General features: G+C 39.0%; 1 protein-coding gene across 1 annotated transcript in view; it reads left to right on the top strand.

The window, feature by feature from the left end:
- The window catches only part of ZNF334 (zinc finger protein 334), a 51,247-nt gene that overhangs the window by 25,854 nt on the left and 12,093 nt on the right, over positions 1–13,300 (top strand). Inside the window, exons 7-10 of the transcript XR_007067464.1 lie at positions 2,038–2,177; positions 2,988–3,131; positions 11,381–11,474; positions 13,018–13,205. The gene's annotated coding sequence lies outside the window, so the exon portion shown is untranslated. The remainder of the gene's footprint in view (positions 1–2,037; positions 2,178–2,987; positions 3,132–11,380; positions 11,475–13,017; positions 13,206–13,300) is intronic.

The following is a 13,300-nucleotide window of genomic DNA, read 5'->3' as shown; positions in this document are numbered from 1 at the left end:
TCAGACAAAATACATTTTAGAGTAATAAGTATTTCCAGGGATAAAGAAGTTTATTTCATAAGGATAAGGAATTAACAGAGCATAATTCTAGGTGTTTTTGCACCCACAGAGCTTCAAAATACTTGAAGCAAGATTATCAGTGAAAGAATACACTCCAAGAATATGAAACTAATTTTAAATAAAAGAACCCACTATGATGGATAACTAGAAAACCACACTGCTATAATAAAAAAGAATATTATACTCATCCAGAACAGACAAATACACGAATGGAATAAAAGAAATTTCAGAAGATGATTTCTATAGATGTATAGTACTGATGGCTTGTGTGTAAGGATGGCATCATAAGTCAGTGAGGACAGGATGGATGCTTTGGTGGGTGGTATTGTAAAAACTGACTCATTGTTCAGAGAAAATGGGGCTGGTTGTCCATTATGCCATATACAAATATAGACAGATTAAAATGTGAATTTTAAACCCGTAATGCTGATAGGAGAATGTCTTTGTGGTCTAGGATGCAGTGGGCTTCTTAAACAACAACAAAAAGACAATAAGCAAATGCTGTAAGTCAAACATGCTATGGATGTGATAAAAAACGAAGGATTTCTGATCAAGAGAAGCCCCAGAGTCAACAGGCAAATGACAGATTGACAGGAGTAACCGTACATTTTAAACCAAAAAATACCTTATATATAACATGAAATATATTCAATTCCACAAAGAAAAGAAAAAAAATTAGAAAATGAGCAAAGAACATGAAGAAGCAATTCAAAAAAGCTGAATAGTGAGTGGATGACGAGAATATCATGTGAGCTTCATCTTACTATTAGGGAAATGAGAATTAAAACAAGGAGACAAAACTACCAAAATGGAGCCAACTAAAATGCAAATGTTAGCAAGCAGTGGTGAGATGCAGGAAAGACAAGTAATGTGGGTGGAGTGTAAAATTCACAGATGTCCAGAAAGTAATCTGGGTACGTTTTGTCAAACTATAATATGCCCTGTGACCCAGAAAATTGTTATACATTCTAAAGGGAGCATGTGAGATTTGGGTCAGAAGGAATTGTAGAGATTTAGGATTTTTTTTCCTTAAAACTGGCTGTGTGATGGATGCATGTTAAAGAATATTATATGGCACTAAAAAGACATGTAGATATAACAAGTAAAGATTTCAGAAACAGCCAAGTAGAAAGGTAAGAAGTGAGATTTGTGCAGCATGCTGTTTAAATAAGAGTGCAGCCATATATAAAATCGTGCATATTTTACAATTAGTATATGCATTTTTATTTTTTTAGACAGAGTTTCACTCTGTTGCCCAGGCTGGAGTGCAGTGACACGATCTTGGCTCACTGTAACCTCTGCCTCCCAGGTTCAAGCGATTCTCCTGCCTCAGCCTCCCAAGTAGCTGGGACTACAGGCATGTGCCACCACACCCAGCTATTTAACAACATAGAAAAGATATTAGACCAGCTGTCTAGCACATAATGACATAATGAATTATAAATGAAGGTTATACAAAATAACGATGGAATCTTGACTAGAGCAACAGTGACAATTGATTGACTCAATTTTTGTATCCAATTTCCAACCCTCCCACTACCACATTGCCAGCCCTAAACAGGATACATGGTTTTATTCAAATATGTCACAAAACAAAGTAAACAGATTTGTGTTCTAAAGCCACAAGGCGGCAGTGGAGAGATCCGAAAAACATCTTGCAGTAAATGTGAAAGTGACTATAACTTCATAGAAAAATGTTCAGAGGTGCATAAAAAATGAAAGTTTAAGGGAGAGAAAAGAAGTATTTTGGGGGTAGGAGAGGAGTTTGGACCAAGTTATTAAGTATTTAAAGAATAAACAGGGTTATTTGGAATTCTTGTGAACAATTCTTATAAAATCTTTAATAAGTGGATTCCAGTCCACTTTCCAAAATGCCCATAGCTTAAATGAATTTGGTATTTTACTCTTTAGATAAAATGATACTCCAGACCGAAATTCATCATCATCTAACCCAGCTTTTTATCCCCTGACTTTTAGGAGCCTATGAATGAGCTGCCTTCCCTGATGTCAGCACTGAAACTCGAGAAACAAGTTTCTCTGAAATCTCTGGATCATCTTACATTCTGGCGAGTTCTACCTTCTGTTAATGAAGGTAGTCGTCTCTTTCCAACTAGATGGTAAATTTGTTTTCCTGATTTGTCATTCTCTAAACTAATAACCTGAAGAGAAAATCAGTCTCTCTCCAGAATTTTCTTAAAAAAAAAAACAAAAAAAACCTTCTGTGACACTTTTCCGAGCTAACCCATTCATTCATTGTAATCACTGACAAGTTTTTTGACCTATTCAGCTATTCATCCTTTTATCCATTTGGGTAGTAACTTAAATTCCAAACTTTTCCCAGCACACCGTTTACTGTCCTAAGACTAGAATTATAACAAAAAGGGTACAGGGAGAGTGATAAACGTGGGGTAAAGATTCCTTTGGAAACTCATGGACAGAAGCCCAGGGGAAAGCTCTTCTCCTGTCACCTCCTGGTGGGGGTTGGAGGGGGAGTGTCCAGGTTACTCTGAGTTGAGGTGTGAGCTGTGATGACTTCCATCTGCTTGTTACCTGGGCAGGGATCACCTGTCACCTCTCTCTCCATCATCCAGGGCTCCTTCCCTTGCTTCAAAGAGGACATCACGTGTGCCTTATAAGTCCAGTTTCCTAAGAAAAATAAATGATCTTGACCATGCTGTGGTTATTACAGAATTTAGACCCACATTTTTAGTGATGAGGAATCTCATTAACATCTCAATCTTCCCAGAACCTCTAAAGCAGTGTTTTTGTATAAAAAACCATCTTCATTTTAAACCATTCCCCAGCTGTTTCTTAGGCATATGACAGCCTCAGACTATAGTTTTGGAGAATGGTGTGATGATTTTGAGGACAGTGGGGAATAGGAAGCTTGTATCATCCCAAGATGAAAATGTCTTCTCTTAACACAGAGCTACGATGCTTTACTGAAGAATATGAAGTTAGAAAATTCAACTGGCATTTTCAGGGAGTGTTGCAGATATTTGCACAGAAGGAGAAAATTCTCCCATGGGCAGTTGTGAACTAACAAGACCTTCCTTACCCAAAGACGCAAGGTATTTACAGTTATCCAGCATCACATCTTTATACAGGTTTCTCTGTTCAGGAGTCAGATGATCCCACTCTTCTGGTGAGAAGACCACGGCCACATCTCTAAATCTCACCAACTCCTGAAATAACAATTTATACTTTATATGTATACATGCCTCCACGTGGCCTCTGGTAGATATCTTTCAAATTGGGCATTCTAGGGAATCACACAGGATATAAGGATACATTAGAATATGTGACCAAAAGCTATAATAGAAAGTGCAGACAATAAAAGTATGATTTACTCTTGTAGAGTTTAGGAAGACAAAATTACTTATGATAAAGTAACAGCTAAGGAAACATACATTTGGTGTTCATGCTTGGCTGAGTCAGTGGGGTAGAGCTACCATCTGTGGGATTATGACCAAATACCTCTAAGTCAGAATCCCACCCAAGCAGAATGATAAGGGAATTCGTCCTGCCTGACTGCATGGGATGGGACATCGGTTTTTTGCTGATTCAGACTGAAACTGGAGCATCAGCTCTTCTTGAGTCTTGAACCTACTGGGTTTTGGACCAGTATTATAAATCAGTCAAAACTAAAGATTTGACAGAGTCTCTCAATATGAACAGTCAAAAGTTCTTTGCAAGTAATACTAGAACCATGTCAGGTCTCCCAAGTATATACATAAATTCAATAGTATCTCCATTTAAAAAATCCATTAAGATTATTTTATAAACTGTGATAAACAGATACATGATTTTCACACAAGGGAAAAATGTGACAGACTAGTTTTTTACATGAAAAGTTAATGAAGGTCTTGTTCTTGCCAGGGTGCAGAGTCAAGTTGTAGTAATTCAAGTGGGTTAGGAATGTCATCAGCACAGATGAAGAGATCAAAGAAAGAGAGCCCAGAAACAGATGCAAATATGGGAATGTTTACTGCCTAAAAAAGATGACCTGCAAGTCTGTTGGGAAACAATTCAATGAATACTGAGGCAATAACTGAATATCCCTTAGTAGGGGGAGAGCAAGATCCCTCCCTGACTATGAGACTATGTTCCAGATGAAATAAAAGATAATTATTAAAACTATTAAAATGTTAGAAAATGAGGATTTTCAGACTTACAATAGAAAAATGTCTTAAAGACTCAAGTGCCAGATAAAAGAAAATAATAAAATCGACCTTATAAAGGAGAAAAATCTCTGTGAAAAAATAAAAGGGACACAGAAAAAACTTAAATTAGTATGTTGTATAACCAACAAGGAACTCATTCAGAATTTATACAGATCAATAAGAAAAAAAAATAGAAGCTGCAGACTAGACAAATGCCTAAAGTATATGAATGAAAAGTTCACTGAAGAAAGCATACAAATGATCAATAAGTGGACAAACTCTTCTCAATTAAATGCGCATTATATTAGCAGCAAGTCTTGCTTGTTTTGGCGAGACAGTCACAACATTTAAAACCTGGATACTATCCAGTGTTTTTAAGGGATGTAACCAAGCCATCAATCACACTGATTTGTGGACTTCAAAGTCAGCATAGTACTTTTGAAGCATGACTTGACAGTATCTCACATGGTTAAAGGTGCATGCCCTTGACTCAGAAATTCTAAGTCTAGATAGCTTTCTTAAAGTTTAAGAATATGTAGAGACTTCATGGCAACATTGTGTCTACCACTGAAATACTGCAAACATAGAGATCTATAAACAGGAGAAAGGTCCAAAAACAGGACAATTCACACTGTAGAACACGTTGCAGATGTTGAGAATAAGGGCCATCTATGCGTGCTGCTACGGAAACATCTCCAAAATAAATTACAAAACTTAAAAATTTACAGAATATAGACATATTCCCCTGTGTCATTGATGGGCCATGGGAAAGTGGAGATGTTACTTTACATATCTATACACAATAGATCTTTTTTAATTGATATTTTATTGATATAAAAAAAGATCTATTGTGTAAAAAACTAAAGACAGTGGTTGAGTAGGGTTAATGATTAAAAAGGTCTTTAAAAAATTATTCATCTGCATTGTTAAAAAGATCATACATTGATAGATTTCTTATATAATTTGAAAAATTAAAAATTACAGAAGTAAAATTTAACTCAGGTCTGCCTGATTGAGGGATGAAAATGTCTTCACAGACTTCATTTTAAAAGATGTTTTGGTAAATTCGTTTATGATTCAATGGAATTCTAGCTATTATATTTGGACATTGTTATTTGATGCCACAATTAAATCAGCCTGTCCTCTAATGGAAACGTGATCTCCATCATTTACTCAGTTCTTCTAAACATTGGGCCCTAAATATGTGGATTAGTGAGAGGCTAATGTTTCTTACTGCTGCCATAACAAATTACCACCAACTTCATGGCTTAAAACAACACAAATTTATAATCTTACAGTTGTGGAGTTCAGAAGTACAATATGGGTTAGCAGTGCTGTGTCCCTGCTGCAGGCTCTAGGAAGAATCTGATTCCTCAACTTTTCTAGAAACCACCTGCATTCCTTGGCTCGTGGCCAGCCCTATCCTGTCTTCAAAGCCAACAACATAGCATCCCCCTGCCTGTTTCTTACAGAGACCCAGTGATTACATTTCAGGCCCACCCAGACAACCCAGGAGAAACCCCCCATCTGAAGATCCTCAACTTAATGACACCTGCAAAGTCCCTTTTACCATGTAAGGTAACACATTCACAGCTTCCAGGGACTAGGATGGGGACATTTTGCAATGGGTGGGGGAGATTGTTCATTCTACCACAATGTGTATCTGGCCTTCTATTTTCTTCTGTTTACCCATCAACGTATTATCATTTCTATATTATTTTAATTAGCATAGTTTGATGTGTTGGATTTTAAGTCTGTCAGGACGAGTGCCCTTTTGTTACCCAGAAATATGGTGGCATCCCTCCACCTTCATCCCATCCACCTGACTGCCTGTGCCCTGCTCCAGCTCTCCCATAGATTTGAGAGCAAGTTAAGCCATTGCTCCCTGCGCTGCCAACACATGCAAGCTGTCCAACTTCAAACTGAACTCACTATCCCCAGGGACTCCTATTCTTCAGCTTAAAAGTTTTCAAACAAATTCATGCCTAGAAGACCTGTGCTAATGACTCCTCTTGGTCAGTCAGTCCTTGAGTAGTTTGTTGAATGAATCCTAAATCTTGGGTCAGTCGTTGAGCAGTTTGTTGAATGAATACTAAATCTTGGGTCAGACCTTGAGCAGTTTGTTGAATGAATACTAAATCTTGGGTCACTAAAGAAAGCTTCTGGGTTATTTAGGTCCCCTCTGTTGCCTCTCTGACTGTCACCTCATCACCAGAATGGGGAGCTGCATCCTTGTGGAACAAATGCAAAATGTCTTTAGCCCTGTAAATTGGTATTTTAGGAAGGAAATCAGAAGTAAGCAGTTCACCTGTGATATCACCTCTAGAAATGACCGAGCCATTTTCCTTTTCATTCTTCACCTCCTGTTCTCAGGGAACACAGACTCCTGAGAAGCCACACCTTAAAATTGAGGACAGAAGCATGTGAGAACAGGTACTCCAACCCCTACCCCCAACCACACACACAGAGGAAACCAGGAATCCATAACAGCGTACCAACCTTGGCTTTCAGGTTCTTTCTCCTCCTGGGCCCTCAAGAGAGCCCACGGGTATGCTGCAGCAGCTGGGATTTTGGATACTGGGGTCTCTCCCTATGTGTCAAAGTGTGAGACTCTACTTTCCATTTCTGCCTTGAACAAAACTTTCCCTGCCACCCAGTGAAACAGAGCTTGAACTCACCTTCTCAGAAAGATCAACTCCGATACAGCTAGCAAGCCCAGCATGCATCTGAGCCTACCTATATGGAACTTAGATCATCACACCCAGAACCTTCTCATTTCCTAATCAAGCCCAGCTCACTACCTGCAGGATTCAGCTCTTTTGGTCCTGATTATAGTGGGAACAGGAAGGATTGGGGAATGCAGGATTGTCACATCAAGGCTTAGGCTGAAAATTCCCCAGTGCTCTTTATTCATGCCTCCTATGTACCCCAGGAATGATGTCATATAACACACACCCAGATAGGTTTGTGCCACTCTTTCCACTTCAATCTCTGAGATAAGGGGCCTCACCTGGTGCCTCCCACCCCCATGAGGCAGCTGCATGGAGGAGGAGAGGCAGTTTGGCGCTTTCAGCAGCGGGACGGCGTAAAGTAGCATCTCCACTTTCCCATGGCCCATCAGTGACATGGGGGAATCCAGTGTGTGCTGCTTGTCCCAGAAAGGGGTTGGGAATGATAGGAGGGTATGGAAAGCAGAACAATTGCCCCCCAAACATGTCCACATCCTAACCCCCAGAACCTGTGAGTATGTGACCTTACTTGGCAAATGTGTGATTAATAATTGTGAACAAAAAACCCAAACTCTGTAAAATATTTAAAGGAGTTTATTCTAAGCCAATATGAGTGACCATGGCTCCAGGAAGAGCCTCAGGGGGTCCTGAGAAAGGGTGCCCAAGGAGGTCAGATTACAGTTTGGTTTTATATAGTTTAGGGAGACAAGTTACAGGCAAAGACATAGATCAATACATGTAAGGAATATATTGATTTGGCCTGGAAAGGTGAGACATCTCAAAGAGTGGGGGAGCTTACAGGTCATAGATGGATTCAAAAATTATCTGATTGGCAATTGTTTGAAAGAGTTAAACTATTTGAAATCAGTAGAAAGAAATGCTTTGGTTAAGGTAAGCGGGTGGGGAGAGTTGTGGAAGCCAAGGTTCTTATTATGTAGATGAAGCCTCCAGGTAGCAGGCTTCAGTGGGAATAGATGGTAAATGTGTCTTTTCATACCTTAAAGGTGTCAGACTCTTAGTTAATCTCTCCTAGATCCCAGAAAGACTGGGCTGCATTAATGGAGGTTCTCTACAGATGTAGAATTTTCCCCACACAAGACAGCTTTGCAGGGCCATTTCAAAGTGTCAGAGAAATGTATTTTGGGGTAAAATACTTTGATTTCCTTCAGGGTCTGATATCTGTCATGTGATGCTACACTAGAGTCAGGATGGAATTTGATCTCTTATTGCCACAGAGTCTGTTTTGTCAGTCTTGTGATCTCTATTTTAGTGTTAATGCTGGTCAGTTGTGCTGAACTCCAAAAGGGAGAGGGTATAACGAGGTGTGTCCAACCTCCCTTCCCATGATGATTGTGAATTTCATTTTTCAGGTTTCTCTTGGCTCTGTTCAGTCTGTTGGGGGGCCTGGGATTTTTGTTTTGGCTTACAGAATCCTGAGTTGGGACAATTATCCTGGATTATCCGGGTGGGTCTGATATAATCAAAAGGGTCCTTAAAAGAGGGAGGCAAGAAAATCAGATAATAAAAGACAGGTAGGAGCCTCCAGAAGCAAGAAAAGGCAAGGAGACAGGTTCCCCCCTAGAGCCTTCAGAAAGAGCACAGTCTCTCCAGCACCTTGATTTTAGCCCCATGAGACCTGCTTTGGACTTCTAACCTCCAGACCTCTAAGAAAAGTTTTTATTTTGAGCCACTAAGTTTGCAGGCATTTGTTCCAGCAGCAATAAATAACTGATACAGAGGGCCAGAGACTGAGGGTGGCCAGGGATGGGGTGAGGTGAGCACAGGGTGAGGACATCTGGACCAGAGGCCTTGTAGGAGGACAGTGGGCCCAGATGCTCACTTGCATCCAAAGGCCAGGGGGACCAAATGACCCCAGCAGGGGATGCAGCAGGACTGAAGCCTAAACCAAAGACCCAACGGGGTGAAATGCCCCTACAGAAGCCAGCAGGGCCCAGCCACCAGCACCCAGACCTGACACATATTCCCTTGCTCCTTCATTTTTTGTTAAGTGTTCCCCTGCACAAAGACTATGTAAACCAAAAATAAAATTCTAAGCCCTCCAACCACTGCAATGGACCTCTCCTCTCAGCAAAGTAAATTCCGAAGTTAACCTGAAAAACTAGTTCAGGCCATGATGGGAAGTGGGGTCGGACATGCCTCATTATACCCTCCTCCCTTTTGAAATTACTGAGAGAACAGACTCTCTAAGTCTGATAAGAATAATTTATAATGTATTCTCTCTAAAGCCAGCTACCTGGAGACTTTGCCTGCATGATAAAAACTTGGTCTTCACAACCCCTTAGCCCAGACGTTCCTTTCCATTGATTCTAAGTCTTTAGGTAATAACTTAATCCTTTCAACCAATTGCCAGTCAGAAAGTATTTGAATCTGCTTATGACCTGGAAGCCCTTGCCTTCCAGTTGTCCCACCTTTCCAGACTGAACCAGTGTACATCTTTTTTGTACTGATTAATGTCTTTTGTGTCCCTAAAATGTATAAAACCAAGTTGTAGCCTGACCACCTTAGGCACATGTGTTTGGGATCTCCTGAAGGCTGTGTTGTGGGCCATTGGTCACTCATATTTGGCTCAGAATAAATCTCTTCAAATGTTTTACAGGGTTTGACTCTTTTCATTGACAACTATAATTCTGAGACAAAATCAGAGGAAAGGGAGAGAGAGTGCTTGAGAGGAGAGAATGTACCAGAGAGCACATGTGAATGTTGAAATCAGATAATTTAATTTCTCAATCAAATGACTATTTCAGAATAGTCTGTTTTAAACATGAAGATGTGAAATGACCTTGGAGTGGTATGATTATGTTTTCTACCATCATTTGTAGCCCAGTTATACCGAAAGATATTTACATTTTTGCATACACTGTGGCTATTTTAGCAAGCTGCAGGAAGATACTGAGTGCTAAGCATGTCCATATTCATGATCTCATTAACTGACACAGCCACCCTAGAGGGAATTATTCTATTGCAATCTTCTTATTTTGGGGTTGAGAAAAGGGAGGATTAGAAAAATAAGCAATTTTGCCCACAGTAACACAGCTGGTGAGGGATAGCACTGAGCTCCATCCTCAAATCCATCTAACTCTAAAAGACCAGGCTCTCGGCCAGCCATGGCGGCTCATACCTGTAATCCTAGCACTTTACAGGGCTGAGGCAGGAGGATTTCCTGAGGCCAGAAGTCTGAGACCATCCTGGGCAACATAGCAAGACCTTGTCTCTACAAACACTTTTAAAATTCCAGGTATGGTGGCATGTGCCTATAGTCCAGGCTACTTGGGAGGCTGAGGTGAGAAGATCACTTGAGCCCCACCATTTGAGGCAGCAGTGAGCTATGATCACATCACTGCACTCCAGCCTGGGCAATAAAGCAAGATCCTGTCACGTGAAAAAAAAAAACCAAAAAACAAAAAAACAGGCTGTTAGGCTCTTTGATGACATAAACCTAGCCAAAGTGTGGATTCCTAAAAAGGTGCCTTCCTCACCTGCTGCATTTACTTATCCAGCCTCATCAACCACCAATTCCCTGTACTCTCCTATTTTTCACATTTTAATCTGTGCAATTATCTTTGTGTTATTCTCTCTCCTAGACTCTGTTTATGGAAGCAGAAGCTGTACCTTTTATCTCTTTGTATTCAAAGCCTTTAGCTCTAGTGTCCAGCACTTAATATGCCGGAAAACAGGCATTATTTTGAGAGTCTCCTATCACGCATCCACTGTACCAGCATGAATTATTTTATTTCAGTATCTTGAAATCCCATCGGTGTATGGGATTATTTTATTATCTCATTTCAATGAGTAGAAAATGCAAACATTATTTTTCTAAGATCACATGGTGAGACCGTTTGAATCCTGATAGGATATATCCCAAAGTTGTCTGAACCCAGGACTGGACGTCTTAACATTGCCATAAAATTCTCCATCATTATAACTTATGGAAAGGCAGAAACCATGATAAATGCTTAATATAAACAAGCTTTATCAGCTTGGATAGTCGCCTAACCTTTATGTGACTCATCTTTAAAATGAAGGCATTGGGTTCTTTCACACTTTTTTGTCAGCAGCATAATACAAGTATATGGTTCTGCAGGTATAACCTGAGACTGCACATATAAAAAAGAAAGACATTAAATCTAACTTCTATTTTGTATAATTGACATTTGTATTGAGATAATTGTAGGTTGACATGCAGTTGCAAGAAAAAATAGAGCCCTCATATACCCTTTACCCAGTTTTGCCTAATGGTAACATCTTGCAAAATGATAGTACAATATCAAAACCAGGATATTGAGGTTGATAAAATTCTCCGATCTTATTCATATTTCCTTAGCTTTACTTCATTTGTATGTGTGTGTTAATTCTATACAGTTTTATCACATGTAGGTTCTAGTATTCACCACCATTGTCATGTTACAGAACACTGTCATCACCTCCAGGATCTCTGGTGTTACCCACATTAACTTCTTCAATAACCACACCCACTGCCTCCCCAGTCTCTCTCCTGTCCCAGGTAACTACTAATCTCTTCTCCATTTCTAAAATATTATCGTTTCAAGAATGTTATATAAATATTATCATGCAGTATATAACTTCTGGGATTGGTTTTTATCATCAACATAATTCCCTGGAGATTCATCCAAGTCACTATATGTATTGATAATTTGCTTCTTGTTATTGCTGAATAGTATTCCGTGGTATGGATGTATGCCATTTGTTTAAAAGGCATCTGAGCTGCTTCCTGTTTGGGGCTATTACAAATGAAGCTACTATGAAAATTAGTGTATAGGTTCTTGTGCTAACATATGTTTTTATTTTCTGGGATAAATGCCCATTAGTAAAATTGCCAGGTTGTAGAGGAATTGCACATAAGAAACTGCCAAACTATTTTCCAGAGTGATTGTACCATTTTACATTCCCACCAGCAATGTATGAGTGATCCAGTCTCACCACATCCTGGCCAGCATGTAGTGGTGTTACTGTTTTTTATTTTAGCCATTTTGATAGGCATGTAGTGATATCACACTGTGGTTTTAATTTGCATTTCCTTACTGGCTAATGATGTTGAACACTTTTCATGTGCTTATTTTCCATCTGTATATCCTTGTCATTGAAATGTCCTTTCATGTCTTTTTCCCACTTTCTAATTGGATTTTTTTTTCTTTTTTTGCTGTTGAGTTTCGAGAGGTCTTTGTATATATTAGATACCAACCCTTCGTCAAATGTGTAGTTTGTAAATACGTTCTCCCACTTTGTAGTTTGTCATTTCATTCTCTTCACTTGTCTTTCACAGAGCAAAAGTTTTTAATTTTGATGAGGTCTAATTTATAAATATCTTCTTTTATGGATCATGTTTTTGTTTCCAGTCTAAAGATTTTTATTTTTTCCTAAAAGTTTTATAGTTTTACATTTATGTCCATGATTCATTTTGAGTTCGTTTTTGTATAAAATTTGAGGTTTAAGTCAAGGTTTGGTTTTTTATGTCTATGGATGCCCAATTGCTCCAGCACCATTTGCTGAAAAGGTTAGTTTTTATTTTTAAAATGAATGATTTTGTGATTTACTCCATATTTATATTTTTCATAGAATAGTAATGGCTTTTATTATGTGACATTAAGTACAATTTATCCTCCAAGGAGATATGCCAAGTAAATCCTGTGGTTTCCTTTACTTGTTGGAATAGACCCACAGTTTCCTTAGGGCATGTAAATCACAGGGTGAGAATAAGTACTGGATGATACTGGAAGCTCCTGTCAACTTTGATAATCTATCTGTGCCTCTGTTTCTGTTCCTTTCTGTCCCTTCACCCCCTCTTCTCTTCTCTCTGTCTCTCTCACTAAACTACCATTTATTGATGGGGGTTATCATAGCTCCTAATTTAACCAAGGTGATAGAAGCTTATGCCAATTGGTGAAATTATTTGCACCCTGATTTGCCCCCAAAGAGCAATACATTATGCAATTATTGTATCTATTGAAGACTTTGTCTGTTTAGCATTTTGCTCTTTATACTTCACATACTTTACACTTAGTCTTAACAATAATTCTTTGTTCTAGATTTGCTTTAGCCCCAACATGCAAAGGGAGAATTTGAGCAAAAAGACTTCAAGGCATCTTGCAGAGGTGGTAGGCCTCTATATAAGACTTTAAACTCCTACAGATGTGGATTTGGATCAGCATGATCTGATTATTCTGGCTATTGACTCCTCATCGGTCTACATGGTGGCCATACATTCTGGATATAGGTGAGTATATACATATATATAATTGTTTACTGATGTTACAATATATTCAAATTCTTCTCCCTAGTTAGCAATGTGTGGTTCAGTGTGCTTTGACT

This window comes from Homo sapiens, chromosome 20 (genome assembly GCF_000001405.40).
Source record: "Homo sapiens chromosome 20, GRCh38.p14 Primary Assembly".
NCBI classification, from domain to species: Eukaryota; Metazoa; Chordata; class Mammalia; order Primates; family Hominidae; genus Homo; species Homo sapiens.
This window is presented reverse-complemented; position numbering and strand designations above follow the sequence as displayed.